The sequence below is a fragment of the Homo sapiens genome, chromosome 1 (assembly GCF_000001405.40).
Source record: "Homo sapiens chromosome 1, GRCh38.p14 Primary Assembly".
NCBI classification, from domain to species: Eukaryota; Metazoa; Chordata; class Mammalia; order Primates; family Hominidae; genus Homo; species Homo sapiens.
In genome coordinates this window covers 21,396,779-21,420,484 of record NC_000001.11, presented here as the reverse complement: position 1 = coordinate 21,420,484, position 23,706 = coordinate 21,396,779, and the positions used below count along the sequence as shown (strand labels likewise).

Sequence of the window (23,706 nt, the reverse complement as noted above, 5' to 3'; positions counted from 1 at the left end):
TCGCAGTGAGCTGAGATCACACAATTGCACTCCAGCCTGGGCAATGAGAGTGAAACTCCATCCCCCCAAAAACAAATAAATAAAAATAAAAGAATATCAAGCAGCCAAAGAAGCAGGAAAACATGACACATAATGAAGAATCTAATAATCTGGTTGAAATTGACACACAAGTTGGAAATAGAAGAAAAGGACATTACAGCAATTAGTATAATTGTATTTTAATTAAATGGAGAGGTTGAAGATTTTTTAAATATCAAATTCTGTAGATAAAAACTATGATTTACAGTGTGAAATGGAAGAAGGCACTGGATTAAACATTGCAGAAGAGAAGATTATTGAACTAGAAGGAATAGAAGTTGAAACTAACATAAATGGAACACACATTAACAAATGACTTGAAAACATAAAAAGACCATCAGCATAAAAACTTTAAACACCCTAGTAAAGGGCTAAATGGAATCCCTGAAGGGCAGGTAGTGGAGAAGAGAGACAAAGATATTTAAAACATACTGGATGAAAGATTTAGAAGCTCCATGGAAACAATAAACTTCAAATATTACAGAAATATGATTATCCTAAGAACAAGAAACATGCAGAAAACTTCACCAAGGAACACCTTAATCGAATCCATCAAAACCGGTGATAAAAAGGAAATCCTAAAAGTAATAAAAGGGAAAAGAACATGTTACATACAGAGCACTAAATATAAAGATGGCATAAGATTTCTCATAGGAAACTTTACAAACAAGAAGTTTGCAATAAAGTATTTAAAAAAAGAAAAACTGTCACCTACAAGTCTACACCTGGCCAAATTATCTTTCAAAAATAAACATGAGAAAAAATATTTTTGAACAGAAAACAAAATGATCTCAATTTGCAGATGGTGTGATCCTATGTATAGAAAATCCCAAACAATACATACAAAGGCAAACACACATACATGCACACAGACACCAGACACACACACACACACACACACACTATCAGAGTTAATAAGTGAATTCAGCAAACTTTCAGCAAACAATCCATTGTGATGGCAATGAACTATCTGAGAAGAAAACTGACAAAATGATTTCATTTATAATAGCACCTGTAAGGATAATATGCCTGGGAATAAATTTGTTCAAGAAGGTGCAGTACTTGTACACAGACAACTACAGAACATTGCTCGAGGAGACTAAGGAAGACCTAAATCAATGGAAAGACACCTTGTGTCCATGGGTTGGAAGTTGTAACATGGTTAAGATAAAAATACAACTCAAAGCAATCCACAGACTCAATACAATCCTATCAAAAAGTGGCCTTTTTTACAGGAATGCCTGAGAAGAACTTCATGTTCCTAAAAAATAGCAAGTGTCCCCCCAAAACAAAAGCAATCTTGAAATGCAAGAAGGAACGTTCTCTATTCCAAACGTCTTTAACTGCTCTTAGCAATACTTGGTAGTCTTCAATATATAGGCTTTCACCCCCTTTTTTTTTTCTTCTTTTGTTTCTAGACATGATCTCACTCTTTCACTCAGGCTGGAGTACAGTGGCAAGATCACAGCTCACTGCAGCATGGAATTCTCAGGCCGATGACATCCTAGGGTCTCATCCACTGAGCACCTGGGACTACAGGCTCACACCACCACACCCGGATAATTTTTCTGATTTTCAGTAGAGATGAGGTCTCACTATGTTGCCTAAGCTAGTTTCAAGCTTCTGAGCTCAAGTGACCCTCCTGCCACGGCCTTCCTAAGTGCTAGGATTTGAAGCTGAGCCTCGCTGGCTTTCACATCTTTGCTATGTAGTTTATATTTCTTGGTGTTATTGTAAATGTTTATGAAAGGAATCTTTTAAAAATTTTGTATTAAAATTATATATTTAAGGAATTACATATATTATATATATTTAAGGAATACAACCTGAGGACTACATATACATATACATATACATATGCACATACACATACACATTATACATATACATATACATATACATATACTATACATAATGAACTAATGCCTACTAGGTGAGGGGCTGCCTTGTGAGCAAACCCAAGGTCCTTGGCTCACAAAGCCTTGTCTAGAAGGATGGAGGGATCAGCAAGGTGGGCACACAGCAGGTTCTGTCTTTAGTGCAGGCACCTGCCCACTCGGGTCTCTGGCAATCCTGACCAGGCTTCACGATGGGTGAGGTGAGCTAGGAATGGGAAAGTAGATGACCTCAGATCCAGGGACTGCAGTTGTCACCTGGGGACCTGGCATGTGCGTGGAGGAGTCTCCCACTGATTTGGCCCTGGGCCAATGCCCAAACGTGCACAAGGACAGGACGCTTGGCCTCAATGTTTTAGGAGCCCCCAGTCTTCTAAAGAGGGTTTGTGGTGGGGAAGAATGTTCAACAAAACAGAAGAGTTATGGGTACTCTAGCTTGGCAACAGAGAATACTTCCTTGTGCTACTAAATGACAATATTTGACAATTATGGATGACACAATTGAGCAACAGCTTTCACTGTTTAACAAGCAGTGTCTCTGGAACACTAGGTTAGTGCTGTTGGAAGTTGACTGAAAAGTCGGTGGTTTGAGCCCATCCAGTCGCATTAGTGTTTCTAGCTGATGTGACCTTCCCTCTGAAGAGTCTCTTCCTTGGACCAAATATATCTTAAAGCTTCTCCTCTTCTTGTCCCTTGTCTATTTTCCAAGGTGCCTCTTTGTTGCTTAGGGCAAAAAAAGTTCATTATTAATCCACACCCAGCAAACATCTACCCTTACTTATCCCGGTTTTTAGGGTTTTGAGTTTGTTTGTTTGTTTGTTTTCTCAGCTTCTCATATTTGGAATACAGGGAATTCCTAAAGTGGAGAACAACAGAACCTGAATCACGCCTATGGTGAAACCACAGGCTCTGGGTGAAAAACCTAATCTGCTAGCGTTTAAAGTTAAACACATTAATTTTCTGTTCTTCCATTTCTATCTGTCTAATGGGCTAAATCAGAACACTTAATTTGTCCAACGTTTAAATGAGCAGCGCAGGAAAAGCGTGGAGCCAATGCCTGTCACATAGCAGTTGGTCAACACGCATGAGCTCCTATCAGCGTCACGGCCTCCAGCATTTCCATCAGGCTTTGATCTTTGAAACGTCCTTCCTGATATTAATGGGTCATTCTTCAAACATTCTCTAACCGATGGCCATGAAATTGCTCCAATGTGTATTATTACAAATACAACTGCAGGGACCAGACTGACACATGTATCTGTCGTGCATCACTTGTCTATTTCTCCGTAGATAACTGGAGATGGAATTGTCAGACCAAAGTATTTATACATTTCTGAATTTGCTAATTTCTATCCAAATTACTATGAAAAGAAGCTGTAACAAGTCACACTTTTAATATTCTATGAGAATTCTTTTTTTCTCCATCTTCTGGCCAAAACTGGGAAGTACTTGCCTACCATTTCCTCTGAACTTACTTTTGCCAACATTTCTGTAGTCACACAGTGGGATCACATTGCATGCATGACATCAAACTCAAATCCTTAAATGAAAAGAGGGGTTCACAGGGCTGTATAAAAATTTACATTCAAAATACAAAAATGCAAATATATATGTGTATACAAATACATATATACACACATACATATATGGGAAAGGAATTTTTTTATTTGGATACTTTATCAAAGTTACATAGACTTGAAAATTTGTTTAGTAAAACAGCAGTCCCCTTGTGTACTCCCAGAGTTTCATCACATAGAAGCAAGTATTTAGTTATTTATCTCCTTATGTCTAAATAGATATTATCACTTTTTGATTTTCAAGTGTAGGCACTATCTCTCCTTCACATACTTGCTCATCACCACCACCCCCAAACATGCCTCTCACTACCTTACCCTCTAACATGTTTGTGTCCTAGTTTGAGGGCCAACTACTACATTATTATAACCTGTATATGTTATTCAGAGTTCAGTCACATTGGATATACATAGCGGGAATGAAAGGCCAGTATCTTCAGGGACTCTCTCTCAAGTGGATAAGCTTCGGAGATTTTTGTAATCTTTGGTCACCCTCTCCATCTTTTTCCTATTCCGGGTAAGTACTAGATCTGATGGGCCCAGCTCAGGTCAGGCACTCTATCCTTGAGCAGGGGAGAGCAGGACATCTTCATGTGTAGTACCAAGAAGACACTGTCCAAAGAGGGACAGGTAGTTCTAAGACAGAAAAGTCAATATGGGGTATGGGTAGGCAAAACGAGGACACGAAAAAAAACCACGTCTGTTCTGTGAGGGGAGCATGCAGTGGAGGGTGGATTCAGAGTGGGAGGGGAGAGTTTTGAGAGATATGGGCCATGGATAGTCCTCTGTGGGCTGGAGACACACAAGACTGTTGGGATCTCTCAGGGGCAGGGAGTTGAGGAGAATCTGCCCTCCCCAACCTGGGAGACTGGTGAGGGGACTGTCCTGGTCACCAGACAGAAATGGGGTCTGGGCCAGGGCAGTTCTGGTGGGAAAGAAAGAACAGGACATCTTCTCCTTAAGGTAAGGTCCTGAGTTCAGGTCTTGGTAGGGAGGGATTACCTTGGGCATTGGCCACTGAAGATGGTTGGCCAGATGAGTGCACTGAAATCTATGTTCTATAAACTTGCAGTTCTAGTAAAAGAATGACTGCAGTAAAGGGTCTTCACGAAGAGGACGTGGAAGACCTGATTCAGGTTGGGGGCTCCAAGAAGAATGTCTGTCCTGCTGTGCAGAAGCCTTCTGCATAGCCTCCCTGGTCCCCTTGCTCAGTCTCCCGGCCAGACCCCCAGAGTCCCTGCCCTGTGCACCCTGGAAGTACACAGTGAGTTCAGCCAAGGCATCTGCAGCCGGGACTCATCCCCAGACATTTCTGTGGCCTTGGGTGCCCTGGACTTCTCCAGGCCCTGTCTTGCAGGCAATCGTCCTGCAAGGGAATGGGGGAAGGAGGCTACTTGACAGTTGACTCTGAGTGGCTCCACAAGGTCCTGACTTAGCTCCTAGTCACTTGCAAACCTATATACCCCCATCTCATCCCCCAAACGATGCAAAGAAACTTTGTCAGGACTCACGCCAGACAAATAGGATGGGGCCGTTCCATAGAGCCAAGTTCATAGGATATCAATAAGAGATGAAAACCACCTGCTGCAAGGTGTCACAGTGGGAACCTTGGGGGCAGGGAGCAGTCACTGAACTGTCAGGGTGAATCCTGGCTCCTGGCCCTCATGCGCCCTTTCTCCCCCTCCCTCCTTCTCTCCTCCCTCCTGTCTGCTCTTTCCCCTCTCTCCCCTGCATCCCTCAGGTACCTTCCATGGGCCCTCACCCCTCCTTTTCAGAGGCTCCAAAGTGAGCCCTCAAAATACTTGGTAACCTTGGGCATTTCCAAAACTGGAGAGATTTGGCCACACCATTTTTATGAGCTAGGAAGTTCCTCCAGAGCTCTTGCCTAAATTTTTCTGCTGATGAGAAGAGAACAAAAGAGTTTCCATCTGATCTGGTCCTAAGGCAACTGCTCCTTGGAGCAGAGTCTGGGCAGGAAGAAGGGGGTTGCCCAGGGCCCCAGACTTGCCCCTCCCAGCTGCTGTGCTCCTCTCCCCTTCACTGCGGGAGAGCTGGCCAGGGATCGGGAACCTCTGTTCTCCACAGTTGCTGCGATCCCAGGCCCAAATCTAAATATTGGCTGATTTAGGAGGCTGAGGGAGGCAATTTCCTGGAGAGAGGTGTCAGGATTTGGGACAAGAGCAGCATCTAGTTGCCGTCCACAGAGATCCCAAGGACAGGAATCCACTGGTAGCCAGTTGGAGGGGATCCCATGAAAAGAAAATGAAACGTGTGCATTAGAACTGGAGCCAAGACCAGGAGCTGAAAAACTGCGCCGTCCTAAGGGATGAAGGAATTAGGGAATCCCGGAAGTGAAGTTTTTCATATAGGTCATTTCTTCCACAGAGATACAGGGCAACGGCCCAATGATGGGAATAAAAGAAAACTCGGGGTCTAGGATTGAGGGGAGGCAGCCTTTTCAGTGGAGGAGACCTGTCACCTGGAGGCCCAGGGTCGCCCTGAGAGGGGAGGGGTCTTGCTGGGTCACTGGGTCCAGGACTCCAATTGCACACAGCCAGTGGCCTGGAGGGTGGGTGACCATGACTGGGGCAATTTCCCCCATTCCGCTTAGGGAGCAATAGGAACATCACTGGCATTATACAGAAAGGTCCCACTGAGACTTGAATGCTGATCACGTTACTCAGAGTCCAAAGCTCTCACCATTACATCATGGAACCTCACAATAGCTCATAACTGGAGGGCACTGAGTTCATAGAGCAGCCGTAGCTCCCACGCACCTATGTTCATGCATTTCCTCTGATCCCTCAAGCAACACCAGGGAAGGTGGACCTGAGAGGGAGGAGTCGTCCTCTTTCTTTCTCTGCCCTCTCCTTTGATCAACTTTTACCATTTCCTTTGCATCTTAGAAAATGAGGCAAAATCCAGTTTGGGCTTAGGGCCAGAGAAGAGCCCTTGAGGCCTCCCTCATGGAAAACATACTCTCTCAGTTTACCAGAGTTTCCTGTACCAAGGGGAAATTTCTGCAAACAGTAATGTTATACTCTTTTTGCCTTCCCTCTTTTCCCTTTGCCCAGGGAGGCCAGATGATTGTCAGAACAGGACTTGGGACTTCCTGGGTGCCTCGCCCCCTTCCTCCATGTAATAAATAATAGCTGACACCAAGCAAGTGGGATTGGGAGGCAGGGAAGCTTTCATTTTCTTTTTCATATACTTTTATGCATTTGTTTGGTTGGTTTTGGCAAGATTTTCTCACCAGAAATGGAGATTTGTTGGATTGAAAATAAAAAGTAATCAGCCATGTTTTACATTCAACATTTATTGAACCCCTGCTGATAAAGCACTTGCCAGCTTCAATGGGGCTGCTAGAGATGAGAGTACACAATCCCTGACTTACACATGTCTCGTCCCAACTAAGGCCTAGGTTATCTGAAGGGGAGATTATCAATGGCAAATGCAGGCTCCTCCTGTGGAAAGAAATTCTGCTTCCTGGAGCTGGTGGTCTCTTCTCCCACCAGTTCAAAGAAGCTTCTCTCGCACTGTGGAGCTGCCCTCCCTGCCCCACAAGGTTAGGGTATGTGCCATTGAAGCTGAGGGCATATGTGGGAAATTCAGACATTCTGTAACACCTGCTGTCTCTTCCCACGCAGGTGAACCCTTGCTGAAGCAGGACAGCAAGCAGGTCCAGGTGGACCTCCAGGACCTGGGCTATGAGACTTGTGCCAAAGCAAGAATGAGGCTGAACAGGAGGAAACCACCAGTACCGGTAAGAGCACAGGGTATGGGGCTCACCTTCCCTCCCTGGAGTCAGCTGTCACATTTGGGTGCTGTTGGCCAATTCCACACCTGACAAGTAGTGGGGAAGAGGAGGACAGGAGGTTAATAGGAGAACTGTTACCCAAAATGAGGCTGAGTATAAGTTTGAATTTCTACAATGAGTTTGTGGCATACTGCTAATAATAATAATAATCATATAAAGTTCTATCCAACTGATTATTATAGAAATACTAAGGCCTACTTAGAGACCACATGAGGTTTTGGAAACATGCAAACCGTAAGTTAAAAATAATTTTGTTTTGCATTATAAAAGGACTACAACTATAGGGCCACCCACCACATTGAAAACCAGAAGAGAAGAAAAACACAGTCTCTCTCATTCTTGAGGAAGTGTAGTGTGGCAGTTAAGAGAAAAGATCCTGGGGCCAGACTTGTTGCTTCAAATCCCGATTTGTAAACTTTCCTATGCCCCAGTTTCTTCAAATGTTAAAATAGTAATAAAGGAACTACCCACCCCATCAGGTACTAATGTCAATTAAACGAGTAAATTCTTATAAAATGCTTTAGAACAGTGCCTGGCATTGGGTAAAATGCTGTGGATTAGTTCTCATTCTGACTACCACCGCCCCAATACACTGATGTTAACATGCTGATATATTTATTCGAAGTCTTATTTTCCTTTGCCTATTTTTCACACAGTTGTAACCCAATAAACTTTTAAATTATACTAAAATTTAGAGAGCATTAAACTTGCAGCATGCAGAAATAGCTTGTCCTACATTCTTGTGGCTATCCTAACTAGATAAGGCCACGTTAATGTCTTAAGAAACATCAGTGTGTGTGGAATGAACACAGGACATTGGAGGATTTGAATTCTGGCTCTGCCATGTGCTAGTTTGAGTGATCTAGAACAAGCTAGTTGACCACCTCTCTTTAAGTTTTGGTTTCCCCAGTCGGTAAAATAGAAAGTGGTGAAACCTAATTTGTGGATATAAGGAGGATAAGAAATATTGTATTTGAATGCTTAGTACAGTGTCAGGGTTGAATAAAGTACTACTTCAACTTTTTCCATAGTAATTATTGTCCTCGTGACCAAACCTGCCTCCTCTCAAAGGCAGTGGCCACAACAGCACATCCAACTTTTATTTAGGAAGACATCTTTGTCTTTTTTCAGAGTGTGAGGAGCACAACAGCCTCAAGGAAATGGTCCTGATGGAGGGGCTGTGCTCTAAGCAGGGGTGCCGGGGCTCAACGCTGGCTAGTTCCTCCGAGAGGAAGCCCTTGGAGAACCAGCTAGGGAAGCAGGAAGAGTTCTGGGTATATGGAAAGTCAGAAAACATCTCAGTCCTACGAAAGGACATCAAAGATCTGAAGGCCCAGCTGCAGAATGCCAACAAGGTCATTCAAAACCTCAAGATCCGGGTCTGGTCCCTCTTGGTTACAAGTGATTATTTGTCTAGTCTGGAAAGACCCTGGAAGCTGGGAGCTGTTGGCACCCTGGAGGGGTCTTCACCTCATAGTGTCACTGATGAGGATGAGGTGTGGCTGTCTGATGGCACTGGGGCTTTCTACTCTCCAGGACTTCAGGCCAAAAAGGACCTGGAGAGTCTCATCCAGAGAGTATCCCAGCTGGAGGTCCAGCTCCCAAAAAAATCAACTAGAAGGGAAGCTGGCTGAGGAGCTGAGATCAGCCTCGTGGCCTAGGTAAGGATGGCACTGTTTAGGCATTTTCTGGATTGAAAATGTGTAAGTTTGTGCTTGGTGTAGGGTAGCTCAAGCAGTTGGAAGAAAGAACATGTCTGGGTATTCACAAGGACACTGATTTAAATGGTAGATATAGGTCTGTGGAAAAGACAGGTAGGCAAGCAGGAGGGCATAGGATGATGTCCCATCATCTGCAAGATACCAGGTCTCAGGGAATTCCTCTTAGGGATATATTAGTAAAGTAACAGTATATATGGTATAGTATAGTATAGTAGTAATACTGGAATCAGACTGCCTAGCTCTGATGCTTATACCCATTCAACCTTCTTAACCTTTCTGAGCCTTTGTCCTTACCTTAACAATAGATAAAATCAACGAAACCAAAGTTGTTTCTTTGAAAAGATTGACAGAATTGACAAACTTTTAGCTAGACTGGCCAGTGAAAAAAGGGAGAAGACTCAAATTATAAAAATCAGAAATGAAAACGGGAACATTACCACCAACCTTACAGAAATAAAAAGGATTATAGGAGAATACTATGAACAATTGTATACTAACAAATTCGATAACATAGATGAAATGGATAAATTTCTCAAAAGACAAACTGCCAAAACTGAATCAAAAAGAGAAAAAAAAAATCTAAATAGACCTATGACAAGTAAAGAGATTCAATCAGTAGTCAAAAAACTTCCAATAAAGAAAAGCCCCAGGACTACATGGTGTTACTGGTGAATTATATGAACCATTTAAGGAAGAATTAGCACCAATCCTTCTAAAACACTTCCCCAAAAATAAAGGAGGGAAAACATCCCAGCTCATTTTATGATGCTTGTATTACCCTGATACCAATGCCAGACAGAAACATCACAAGAAAAGAAAGCTGTAGACCAATATCTCTTGTGAATAAACATGCAAAAATTCTCAAGAAAATATCAGCAAACAGAATCCAGCAGCATATTAAAAGGATTATATGCCATGACCAACTTGGATTTATCCCCGGAATGCAAGATTGGTTTACCATACAAAAATCAATCAATATAATATAACATATTAATACACAATAAAGGAATAAAACTATATGATCATTTCAGTTGATGCAGAAAAAAATATTTGGAAAGATCTAACATCTTATCGTGTTAAAAAGACTCAACAAACTAGAAAGAGAAGGGAACTTTCTTCAACCTGATAATGGACGATATTAGTCGTGCTGCTGATAAAGACATAAAGACTGGGCAATTTACAAAAGAAAGAGGTTTAATGGACTTTCAGTTCCATGTGGCTGGGGAGGCCTCACAATCATGGTGGAAGGTGAAAGGCACATCTCACATGATGGCAGATAAGAGAAGAAGAGCTTGTGCAATTGGAAACTCCCATTTTTTAAAACCATCAGATCTTGTGAGACTTATTCACTATCACAAGAACAGCATGGGAAAGATATTCCCCCATGATTTAATTACCTCCCACTGGGTCCTTGCCACAACACTTGGGAGTTCAAGATGAGATTTGGATGGGGACACAGACAAACCATACCATGGACGTTTATAAAAAACCCACAGCTAATATAATACTTACTGGTGTTTTCCCTAAGATCAAGGACACAGGAATATTTGCTCTCACCACTTCTATTGAATATTGTGCTGGAGAGTCAAGCCAAAGCAAACAGGCAAGAAAAAAATAATAATAAAAGACATACAGATTGGAAAGGAAGAATTAAATGATATCAATTCTCAGGTGACATCATTTTGTATATAGAAAATCCTAAGGAATTCACTTTAAAAACTATTGGAACTAATAAATAAACTCACCAAGGTTGCAGGATACAAAATTAATATATAAAAATAAATGGTTTTGCCAGGCGTAGTGGCTCATGCCTGTAATCCCAGCACTTTGGGAGGCCGAGGTGGGCAGATCACAAGGTCAGGAGATTGAGACCATCCTGGCTAACATGGTGAAACCCCGTCTCTACTAAAAATACAAAAATTAGCTGGGTGTGGTGGCAGGTGCCTGTAATCCCAGCTACTTGGGAGGCTGAGGCAGGAGAATGGCGTGAACCCGGGAGGCGGAGCTTGCAGTGAGCCGAGATTACGCCATTGCCCTCCAGCCTGGGCAACAGAGCAAGACTCCATCTCAAAAATAAATAAATAAATAAATAAATTTTGTTTGTTTGTTTGTTTTTTGTTTTGAGATGGAGTTTTGCTCTCATTGCCCAGGCTACAGTACAATGGCATGATCTCGGCTCACCGCAACCTCCGCTTCCTGGGTTCAAATGATTCTCCTGCCTTAGCCTCCCGAGTAACTTGGATTACAGGCATGCACTACCATGCCTGCCTAACTTTCTATTTTTAGTAGAGACAGGGTTTCTCCATGTTGGTCAGGCTGGTCTCAAACTCCCGACCTCAGGTGATCCACCCACATTGGCCTCCCAATGTGCTGGGATTACAGGCATGAGCCACAGTGCCTGGCCAATAAATGGTATTTTTATACACTAGCAGTAGACAATCTCGAAGTAAAATTGATTAAATAATTTTATTTACATTAGGATCAAAAAGAATAAAATAGAAATAATTTCTGCCAAAGAAATGCAAGACTTATACACTGAAACTGCATACCATTGCAAATCTTTATGTGTGTGTGTGAAAGAGAGAGGGAGAGAGACAGACCCTCACTCTGTTGCCCAGGTTAGAGTGCAGGTGCAGTGGCTCCCAGGCAACCTCGACCTCCCAGGCTCAAGGGATCCTCCCACCTCAGCCTCCCCAGTAGCTGGGACCACAGGTGGGTGTGCCACCACACTAGACTAATTTTGTTTATTTTTTGTAGAAACGGAGGTCTCACTATGCCATCCAAACTGGTCTTAAACTCCTAGGCTCAAGCGACCCACCTGCCTCAGCCTCCCAAAGTGTTGGGATTACAGGTGTGAGCCACTGTGCCCTGCCCAAATCTTAAAGAAGATCTAAAAAAATAGAAAGATAACCCATGTTCATAGATTGGATAACTTAATATTTATAAGATGGTAATATTCCCCAAATTGATCTATAGATTCAATTCATTGCCTATCAAATTGTTTTTCAGATATGAACAAGCGTATGGAAACTCAAGAGACTTATAATAGCCAAAACAATCTTGAAAAAGAACAAAATTGGAGGACTCACAATTCTTTTTTTTTTTTTTTTTATTGAGACGGAGTCTTGCTCTGTCTCTGGGCTGGAGTGCAGTGGCGCCATCTCCACTCACTGCAACCTCCACCTCCCTGGTTCATGCGATTCTCCTGCCTTAGCCTCCCCTGTAGCTGGGACTACAGGCGCCTGCCACCATGCCCAGCTAATTTTTGTATTTTGAGTAGAGACAGGGTTTCACCATGTTGGCCAGGATGGTCTCGATCTTCTGACCTCGTGATCCGCCCACCTCAGCCTCCCAAAGTGTTGAGAGTACAGGCGTGAGCCACCACGCCCAGCTGAGGACTCACAATTCTTGATTTCAAAGCATACCACAAAGCTACATTATTCAAGGCAGTATAGTGCTGGGCAGGAAGACAGACATAGAAATCAGTGGAATACAAATGAAAGTCCAGAAGTAAACCCATAAATATATGATACAATAATTTTCTACAAGAGTGCCAAAATCATTCAATGGGGGAAGGATAGTCTTTTCAACAAACAGTGCTGGGACAACTGGATATCCACATGCAAAAGACTGACGTTGGACACCCTTACCTCATGCCATATACAAAAATTAACTCAGTCAGGCACAGTGGTTCATGCCTGTAAACCCAGCACTTTAGGAGGCTGAGGCAGGAAGCTCACTTGAGCCCAGGAGGTTGAGGCTGCAGTGAGCCATGGTGGTACCATTGCACTCCAGCCTGAATGACAGAATGAAGCCCTCTCTCTCAAAGAAAAATTAACTGAAAATGGATTAAATGCCTAAATGTAAGAGTTAAAACTAAAAAATTCCTAGAAGAAAACATAGGGGTAAATCTTCATAACCTTGGATTTGGCAATGGGTTCTTAGGTATGACACCAAAAGCCCAAACTACAAAAGAAAAAAATAAATTGAACTTCATCAACATTTAAAATGTTTGTGCATCAAAGGACACAATAAAGAAAGTAAAAAGACATCCCACAGAAATAGAGAAAATATTTGCAAATCATATATCTGATAAGGATCTGGTATCCAGAATATATAAAGAACTTCTATGACACAACAACAAAAAGACAAACAGTCCAATTTAAAAAATGGACAAAAGGCTGGGTGCAGTGGTTCACACCTGTAATCCCAACACCTTGGGAGGCCAAGGTAGGAGGATTGCTTGAGCCCAGGAGTTTGAGACCAGCCTGGGCAACATGGTGAAACCCTGTCTACAAAAAAATACAAAAATTAGCTGGGCATGATGGCATGCACCTGTAGTCCCAGCTACTCAGGAGGCTGAGGTGGGAGGATTGCTTGAACCTGGGAGGTCGAGGCTGCAGTGAGCCATGATTGCACCACTGCACTCCAGACTCTCTCTCTCTCAAAAAAAAAAAAAAAAAGGGGGCAAAGGACTTGAACAGACAATTCTCCAAAGAAGATATACAGTGGCCAATAAGCACATGAAATAATGCCCAACATCATTAGTCACTAGGGTCAATGGAAATTATCTATTTCTTTTTTTATCAGCTGAGTTTAAGATTCAAGTTAACCAAATTAGTCAATGCCAACAAAACCACAGTGAGATACCACTTCACATCCACTGTAATAAAAAAAAGACAGACTCGAAGAAGTGTAAAAATATGTAGAAATTGGAACCCTCACACATTGCTTCTGGACATGTAAAATGGTGTCGTCTCTGTGAAAAACAGTTTAGCAATTCTTCAAAAAGTTAAACATATGACCCAGCACTTCCACTCCTAGATATATATCCAAGAGAACTGAACACAAGTGTTCAAACAAAAACTTGCACACCAATGTTCAGAGCAGCATCATTTATAATAGTCAAAAGGCAGACACAACCCAGATGTCCATCAACTCATAAATGGATAAACAAAATGTGGTATATCCATAAAATGGAATATTATTCAGAATGATGTACTAATATGCAGTACAACCTGGAAAAAATATTGAAAATATTATACTAAATGAAATAAGCCAAATATAAAAAGCCACATATTGTACGATTCCATTTGTATGAAATGTCTAGAATAGGCAAATCTGTAGAGACAGAAAGGAGATGAGTGGTTGCCTAGGGCTGAGGGGGTGGGGAATGGGAGTGACTGTTTAAGAGCTACAAGGAGTCTTTTTAGGGTGATGAAAATGTCCTCGTGATGATGGTTGCTGCTATGGTCTGAATGTTGATTTCTCCCCAAAATTCGTATGTTAGAACCTAATACCTAATGTGATACTATTAAGAGGTGGGGCCTTTAGGAGGTAATTAGTTCCCTTATGAAAGGGGCCTGGGGCTGGGCGTGGTGGCTCATGCCTGTAATGCAAACACTTTGGGAGGCCAAGGTGGGTGGATCACTGGAGGTCAAGAGTTCGAGACCAGCCTGGCCAACATGGCGAAACCCTGTCTCTACTAAACATACAAAAATTAGCTGGGCTTGGTGGCAGGCGCCTGTGATCCCAGCTACTCGGGAGGCTGAGGTAGGAGAATTGCTTGAACCTGGGAAGCGGAGGTTGCAGTGAGCCAAGATCACGCCGCTGCATTCCAGCCTGGGTGACAGAGTGAGACTCTGTTTCAAAAAAAAAAAAAAAAGCAGCCTGGCATTGTGGCAAGCACCTGTAGTCCCAGCTACTTGGGAGGCTGAGCTGGGAGGATTGCTTGAGACTGGGAGGCTGCAGCTGCAGTGAGCTGAGATTGTACCACTGCACTCTAGCCTGAGTGACAGAGAAAGACCCTGTCTCAAAAAAAAGGAAAAGAAAAAGCATGGTTGGGAGGGAACACCAAGGGTGTGGCCAAGCAACCATTTGGTAAGGAGATTCATGCAAATAGAAGAGAGCCAGATGCTGTTCATCAGGACAATGGAAGGATGACCCCAAAGGCATTTTTGGAGATTGCTGGGGCTGCTTATCCCAGCACAGGCCCAGAATGCTAAGGCCTTGGGAACAAAATGATTTCAGTGCTCCTTGGCCACCCAGCTGTGTAGCTCAGGCTGCTCCTCCAGAAGGCACAGGCAGTAGACCTTTGCGACGTCTTCATGGTGCCATCTCCACTAGTCCAAAGAGTGCATGAGATGTGGGACATGCCTGTCTTCACCTACATTTTAAAGGATGGAGCCACCCGGAGCCTTGGCCTCATGACCCAGGCAGAAGCTACCACAAGGGTGAGACCACCACAGAGAGCCTCCAATAGGGAAAGCCTTAGCAGAGATGTGGGAGTGGGACTGTTCCCAAGACCCCAGGAAGATAGAGCCATGGGCATGCAATTCCAGCTTGGGACAGCTGTAGGCACCGGACTCTAACCTATGACAGGTGTGGTATGGGCTGGGCCTAGCAAACCCATGGAAACAGGGTTGCCTGGAACCTTGGGAGTCCAATCCCCAACCCAGTGTGTCCAGATTGCAGAATATCAAGTCAAAGAAGAATATTCTGGAGCCTTAAGATTTAATGTTTGCCTTGCTGGGTTTTTTATTTGGTTGAGATCTCTTATCTCTTTCTTCTTTCCTACTCCTGTTTGGAATAAAAATGTCTGTCCTTTGCCTGTCCCACCATTGTATTTAGAAAGCACATACCTTGTTTGATTTCACAGGCTCACCACTGAAGAAGAATTTGCCTCAGGATAGTACACACTTTTTTTTTTTTTTTCTGAGACGGAGTCTCGTTCTGTTGCCCAGGCTGGAGTGCAGTGGCGCGATCTCAACTCACTGCAACCTCCAACTCCCAGGTTCAAGTAATTTTCTGCCTCATCCTCCCAAGTAGCTGGGATTACAGGCACCCGCCACCATGCCTGGCTGATTTTTGTATTTTTAGTAGAGACGGGGTTTCACCATCTTGGCCAGGCTGATCTTGAACTCCTGACCTTGTGATCCATCCGCCTCAGGCTCTCAAAGTGCTGGGATTACAGGCGAAAGCCACCGCGCCCGGCGTTTCTTTTTCTTTTTCTTTTTTCTTTTTTTTTTTTTGAGATAGAGTCTTGCTCTGTTGCCCAGGCTGGAGAGCAGTGGCGCGATCTCAGCTCACTGCAACTTCCGTCTCCTGGGTTCAAGCGATTCTTTTTTTTTTTTTTTTTTTTTTGAGACGGAGTCTCCCTGTCACCCAGGCTGGAGTGCAGTGGCATGATCTCAGCTCACTGCAAGCTCCGCCTCCCGGGTTCACGCCATTCTCCTGCCTCAGCCTCCTGAGTAGCTGGGACTACAGGTGCCCGCCACCACGCCCCACTAATTTTTTTGTATTTTTAGTAGAGACGGGGTTTCACTGTGTTAGCCAAGATGGTCTGGATCTCCTGACCTTGTGATCCGCCCACCTTGGCCTCCCAAAGTGCTGGGATTACAGGCGTGAGCCACAGCGCCCAGCCAAACGATTCTTTTGCCTCAGAGTAGCTGGGACTACAGGCATGCACCACCACGCCTGGCTAATTTTTGTATTTTTAGTAGAGATGGGGTTTTGTCATGTTGGCCAGGCTGGTCTCAAATGCCTGGCCTCAATTCATCCCCCAACCTCAGCCTTCCAAAGTGCTGGGATTACAGGCGTAAGCCACTGCACCTGGCCTTAATCACACTTTTGAGTCACTTATGTCTGATTTAGATGAGATTCTGGACTTCAGACTTTTGAGTCGGTGCTAGAACAAGATCTTGGGAGCTATTGAGATGGAATTTTGCATGGAGAAGACCATGAATTTGGGCAGCCAGGGGAAAATCCTATGGTCTGAATGTTAGTGTGCCCTTCAAATTTATATGTTGGAACCTAATACCCAACGCGATAGTATTAAGAGGTGGGGCCTTTAGCAGGTGACTAGGTCATAAGATGGGGGTAGTGCCCCTATAAAAGAGGTCAGAAGGCTGGGTGCAGTAGCTCATGCCTATAATCCTAGCACTTTGGGAGACCAAGGCAGGTAGGTTACTTGAGCCTAGGAGTTCAAAACCAGGCTGGGCAATATGGTGAAACCCTGTCTCTATAAAGAATACAAAAATTACCCAGGCATGGTTGTGCATGCCTGTAGTCCCAGCTACTCGGGAGGCTGAGATGGGAAGATCACCTGAGCCCTGGGAAGCTGAGGCTGTAGTGAGCTTTGATCTTGCCACCGCACTTTAGACTGGGTGACAGAATGAGACCCTGTCTCAAAAAAATAATTAATTAATTAATTAATTAAAAAATAAAAGAGGTCAGAAGGAGCGGTTAGCACCCTTCTGCCATGTGAAGACACAGAGAAGGCACCATCTATGATTAGCAGGCCCTCACCAGACACCAAATCTGACACCTTGAACTTGGATTTCCCATCCTCCAGAACTGTGAGAAATAAATTTCTGTTGTTTATAAATTACCCAGTCTAAGATATTTTGTTACAACAGCAGGAACAGGTAAGACAATTGCCCAACATTGTGAATGTACTGGAAGCCACTGAATTGTACACTTTAAAATTATTGAAATGGTGAATGTTATGTGACTTTTACCTCAATTCAATAAAGAAAAGAAAAGAAGTATTGATATGTGCTACAAAATGGACAGATCTTGAAAACATTATGCAAAATGACAGAAGCCAGCTACAAAGGACCACATATTGCACATATTGTATAATTCCATTTTTTTGAAATGTCCAGAATAGGCAAATCCACAGAGAGAGAACGTAGATTGGTAGTTGCCTTGTGCTGGGGTTGGGGGTAAGCAGCAGGAGAAGAGGTTTGAAGGAAAAATGGGGAGTGACAGTTAATGGGTACAGGCTTCTTTTTAGGGTGATAAAAATATTCTGAAATTGATTGTGATGATCATTTCATAACTCTGGGTATGCTAAAAACATAGAATTATATTCTTTAAATGAGTGAATTGTATGAGATGTGAATTATATTTAAATATATTTTTTATAAAAAATTCTTGAGTGTGATAACAATGTTACCGAAAGAAGTCCCAATCTAAACCCCAAGAGAGGGTTCTTGGACCTCACACAAGAAAGAATTCAGGGTGAGTTCATAAAGTGAAAGCAAGTTTGTTAAAAAAGTAAAGGAATAAAAGAACGGCTATTCCATAGGCAGAGCAGTGGAATGGGCTGCTCAACTGATTATACTTATAGTTATTTCTTGATTATATGCTAAACAAGGTGTAAATTATTCATGAGTTTTCCATGAAAGGGGAAGGCAATTCCCAGAAATGAGGATTCCTCCCCTTTTAGGACCATATAGGGTAACTTCCAGATGTTGCCATGGCATTTGTAAACTGTCATGGCACTGGTGCCATGTCTTTTAGCATGCTAATGTATTATATTTCACATATAATGAGCAGTGAGGATGACCAGAGGTCGCTTTCATCGCCATCTTGGTTTTGGTGGGTTTTGACCGGCTTCTTTACTGCATCCCGTTTTATCAGCAGGGTCTTTGTGACCTGTGTCTTGTGCTGACCTGCTATGTCATCCTGTGACTAAGAATGCCTAACCTCTTTGGAATGCAGCCCAGTAGGTCTCAGATTTATTTATTTATTTATTTATTTATTTATTTATTTATTTATTTATTTTGAGACGGAGTCTTGCTCTGTCACCCAGGCAGGAGGGCAATGGCACAATCTCGGCTCACTGCAACCTCCACCTCCCGGGTTCAAGCGATTCTCCTGCCTCAGCCTCCTGAGTAGTTGGGATTACAGGTGTGCACCACCATGCCTGGCTAATTTTTGTATTTTTAGTAGAGACAGGGTTTCACCATGTTGGTCAGTCTGGTCTCGAACTCCTGACTTCATGATCCACCTGCCTCGGCCTCCCAAAGTGCTGGGATTACAGGCGTGAGCCACCACGCCCGGCCTGGTCTCAACCTCGTTTTACCCACCCTCTGTTCAAGATGGAATTGCTCTGGTTCAAATGCCTCTGACATATTTTCCCCCCTCCCTTTTACAAGGGTCCCCTTAATCCTAAGGGTTATAGGGGACAAAGATCAATCTTCTGTAAATTCTTCAGGCTGAATAGGGGAGATGATATTCCTGCCTAACAGGGTCTGTCGTATTCAGGGTAGAGAGGAACTCAGTTAGAAATTATCTGTATGGTGAGGGCTACTCATAACTCTGAGTTCTGACAAAAGGTGGTATCCGGAAGATTAATAAGTGTTCAATTTAAGAAAACATTGAGTAAGCTTATCCTGCATTCCTACACAAAGAGTACAATGGCAATATATTCCACAACAGTAAAGCAAAATAAGTTAAACTATCCCAGGTAAATTAAATTAAGAAGGCTTCCCATGAAGCAGGCAACTGTTGGAACCAAGCTGACATAACATTGCTAGCCGATTCCAATACGTGCCCAGAAATAGAATATTGGTCTAGATTTTTAAATTAACCATCCCTCTTGTTTCTTCTTAGCTGTAGCCAGAGATCATTGGTCGGTTCACAGGAATAAGCAGAGTCAGTCTAAATTGTAGAAAAAAAACTCAAAAACAACTGATGGGACTAGAACTTAATAACAAGTGTACCATAGTTCTTGAAACAATTTTTCTCTCTCCAGCCCTCATTTTTACTAAAGACAAATCATTGTAAGACTGATTCATTTGCAAAATAAGCATTAGTCTTATTATACTTGGCCTGATTATTTGTATAAAGTGCAGCAAGAATAATTATTTGCCATATAGCCTCCTTTTTAAATTGGCTTTGATGGAACTTTGCTCCATAAGAAATCTTAGATAAGACTTTTTTTTAAAGTCAAGCCAAGCCATGGGTTATTACTGTCAACTACCTGTATGAGTTGGGTAAATTTCTCTCCTCTTGAGGTCCCAATATAACTTGGGGCTCCTGGGCCTGTCAGAAAGTGACATTCTTTACTTAACACAGGTCAGGAACACTGTACAGAGACTGTGTAGACAAGGTATAAAGCCAGTTTTCCCAAGGGGCTTTTATTGGCTCTATATGTTAATTTTGATTCCTTAAAGAAAAGCATGCCACTCCAGTCAAAGCCTTGGTAAAATTACCAGTTTCTCCAATTGTGTCCTATTACAAATGAAGACAGATTCTTACTGCACTTATGCAAATAACTGTATTGCCATAAGTTAAGAATACTCACAAGTGGTTTCCAAATTCTGGATAAATAAGGTAGAGAGAAACAAATATGCCCCAACTTTTGTTTATAGGAGTATACTTTACTCAATTATCAAAAACTGTAAATAGGCTGGGCGCAGTGGCTCACGCCTATAATCCCAACACTTTGGGAGGCCGAGGTGGGCAGATCACCTGAGGTCAGGAGTTTGAGACCAGCCTGGCCAACATGGCAAAACCCCGTCTCTACTAAAAATATAAAAAATTAGCTGGGTGTGATGGTGCCCACCTGTAGTCCCAGCTACTCGGGAGTCTGATGCACAAGAATTGCTTGAACCCAGGAGGCAGAGGTGGTGGTGAGCTGAAATTGCACCACTGCACTCCAGCCTGGGCAACAGAACAAGACTGTCTCAAAAAAAAAAAAAAAAAAGTAAATAGCTTAAAAGTTTTCTTGACTCTGAAAAACAAAACAAAGGATCAGCAACATTTTAAGCAAAAAGTCATAAAAGGATTATTTCGGTCTTCTGTTATTAGTTCAGTCCATGCAATTAATGCCTGCTCTGCTTGACATTAATAAACATTTCAGCTATGACAGTCCTGAAAGTTTTTCCTCTATTCTAACGTCACAGTCTCCAAAGTTATCTGAAACCTGCGTTTAAGATCACCTGTCAAAGACCTATAGCTGATTATAAACCACCTTTCAAAGAGGATTAAAACAAGTCAACAATTGTCTATGGATGACACAAAGTCTTAGGACAGCCATTATTAAAGTCATATTTGACTAGGAATTGTGGTTACTTCTATGACTTTCAATAATTTTACATAACAATTATAACACAGGAGTTTCCCATAACTTTGGAACACATACCAATAACATATTTATACAAATATAGCCCAAAGAAAGCCAAACACCGTTTCGTATTTGACAATGCTTCCTGTATGATTTTTTGTGCGTGTGATTTTGGGTTATTTATTTTGTGCATCTGTGGCAATGAATGAGATCTCACTGGTGGTGTGGATTTGACTGATCTCTGCAACTGTGTAGGGCAAAAGAACTGGCAAAAGAAAATGACAACAAGATCCCAGCAAAGGGGTAGGGAGGGCCAAGAGAACTGAACATCTGGGCTGGCAGAGAAATCAAAGCCTAGAAATTAAGAGGTAAGAGTGTAGTGTAGGGGATATACCCCATCTCTTTGCTCCTTCCCTTTTGCTTTCTTTCCCAGGGACCCAGGTCCTTGGGACTATATTGGATCTGTCTCTGAAGCTGAAAAACAAAAGGCAGAGGAGACAGTTGGCTCTAAGTGACCAGTCTCAAGCCAGCTTTGTCAGAAATCCTAGATCACAGGAGAAGGGTGGAGAGAAAGGATATGATTATTTCTGGTTCCATTTTCCATTAGAGGTGAGAATGACAAGGAACTCTCTTCTAACTCCTCTTGAGGGCATGAAGAGGGTTAGCAGGAGAAGGGCTGGGAGCCCTGAGGTCTCCTGTAGGACCTCATATCCCACAGGCAAGGACTAAGAATTAGGATTAAATATTTTCGTGGGATAGCTCTAAACCAGTATTAGCAAGCACAGCCAGGGTGAGAATTCCTGGAATCTGACTGGGACCCTCGCAGTGAAAGCTGGGACTGTTGAAAACCCAATTTCAGTGTTTGCTACTCAAGTTGAGAGTGCAGGGCCAAGATAACTAGATCCCAGGACAGGCAGTTTGACAGTGAGAACAAAAGGAAGAGGCTGGGGCCAAGGTGCCTAGATCCCTCGAGAGAGAAGGGGTGGGTATTGGGAGGAAAAATGAGAACTGGGGGAACTCAGGAGTCTAGGTTCTGAAATAGCAGCAAGTCAGAATTCCAGGATCTCTGTCCACCCTCCTCTTCCTCTTCCCTCTATCAGGCAGAAGAGAGAGAAGGAGGGTACTGGAGAAGTAGCCACATGGATACATTCAGGCATGGTGGGGGAAAGAGGAATTTAGTGCTGCATTGGCCCTGCGTGGGTCTAGGAAGGGTCAGGAGGCCGGGGAGGGGTGGTGGGGGTCGGTCCCAGGGTTGCAGGACGCCATCCTTTGCGGTGGCCACGTACACAGTGTGTATGACCACAGCCCTCTTCTTCCTCCTCATCACTTTCCGTGGAGCTCTCGCCAAAGGCCCGGGATTTTTCATAAATAGAGCAGCATTTTGATGAGCGGCGGCGCATGCGTTCATTGTCCACAGTGTCACTTGTCCATTCCACCTTTTTCTCTGGCTTCCGTTTCGGAAGTTTGATGGTAAGGCTCCGGTTCTCGGGCTCGGTTGTCACGGTAACTGTTGTCTCAGTGACGGTCTCGCTCAGCCCAGCCCCTGCCTCAGGAGAGGGAGGAAAGGAGGAAGGGGGATGACACACCCTTCTCTTTTTCTGTCTCTGAGGTCTAGGAGAAGCAGTATGGGATTCAGTGGTAGCCAGGATCCTCCACCTTCTTTTCACCCCTCCTCCTGGGCCTCCGCTTCTCCACCCGTGGAGATAACCTGACCAACCCCACTTCCGGCTCTGCTTCCGGGTGATTTTTTTATACAAATAAGTCAAATATGTCATTTTTGGACTTTAGGGGACCTAATATCTAAAACATTAATGAAGTCAGAAAAAGATATAATTTGTAATTTGATTTTGGAAAGTTTGTCCAATATCAAAGGTTTAAAATATTTGATATTATAAAATAGAATTCTAGGTCACCCTAAGTTATTCATTTAGCCAAAAATGGTAACTCAAAAATTTTTAAAAAGCATAAAACTTTACTTATTGATACAGGGAAGACTTAGGTTTCCAAACAATCTATCTCTTGTCTTTCCTTTCTTTTTCCTGTGGTTTATTCAAAAGGCAAACAAAAATCTTCATTATCCTTTAATACTACATACAAATATTGTTCATGGCCAAGCGTGGTGGCTCATACCTGTAATCCCAGCACTTTGAGAGGCCAAGGTGGGTGGATCATTTGAGGTCAGGAGTTCGAGACCAGCCTGACCAATATGGTGAAACCCCATCTCTACTAAAAATTTAAAAAAAAAAAAAATAGCCGGGCGGGGTGGTGTACCTGTAGTCCCAGCTACTTGGGAGGCTGAGGCAGGAAAATCGCTTGAACCTGGGAGGTGGAGGTTGCAGTGAGTTGAGATCACACCACTGCACTCCAGCCTGGGTGACAGAGATAAAAAAGAGAAAACTCTGTTGTGCTTTTATTCCAATGTTCAATTTATGGAAAACCTTTAATTTTAGCCAATATGTTTACACACAGAATGTTATATGTAAAAGGCTTGTTTTTGGTACTGTAAGGAAAAATTAGCATTTAGGGAAAAAGTTTTTTTAGCAAGGTAATTTTACTTTTTGCAGAAAGGGTGCTTTTTGCAGATGGAACAATGACAAAAGCACACCTAAACAAAGGAGGGAAGCAATGTTTATTTTTTATGCAGCTTATTTTTGCTACTGTGTTTTGTCTTCATTGGCTGGAGCTAGACCTTACAATTTAAACTAAAACCCGACTGGCTAATAATTTAAAACTTTTTAAAATAGGTAAAGGCAATAGAGAACAA

General features: G+C 42.9%; 1 long non-coding RNA gene and 2 pseudogenes across 2 annotated transcripts; 2 read left to right on the top strand and 1 right to left on the bottom strand.

Annotated features, from left to right (window-relative positions):
* The first annotated feature begins 3,941 nt into the window (after window positions 1-3,941).
* Window positions 3,942-7,818, top strand: LOC105376832 (uncharacterized). 2 transcript variants are annotated; one of them, XR_947044.2, is made up of 3 exons: window positions 3,942-4,064; window positions 7,195-7,310; window positions 7,635-7,818. It is a non-coding gene; the product is annotated as an uncharacterized LOC105376832 (long non-coding RNA). The 2 variants fall into 2 exon arrangements; XR_947043.2 differs by lacking the exon at window positions 3,942-4,064 and adding an exon at window positions 6,406-6,576.
* PDE4DIPP10 (PDE4DIP pseudogene 10) lies at window positions 8,495-9,029 on the top strand (annotated as a pseudogene).
* Window positions 21,923-22,685, bottom strand: PPP1R11P1 (protein phosphatase 1 regulatory inhibitor subunit 11 pseudogene 1; annotated as a pseudogene).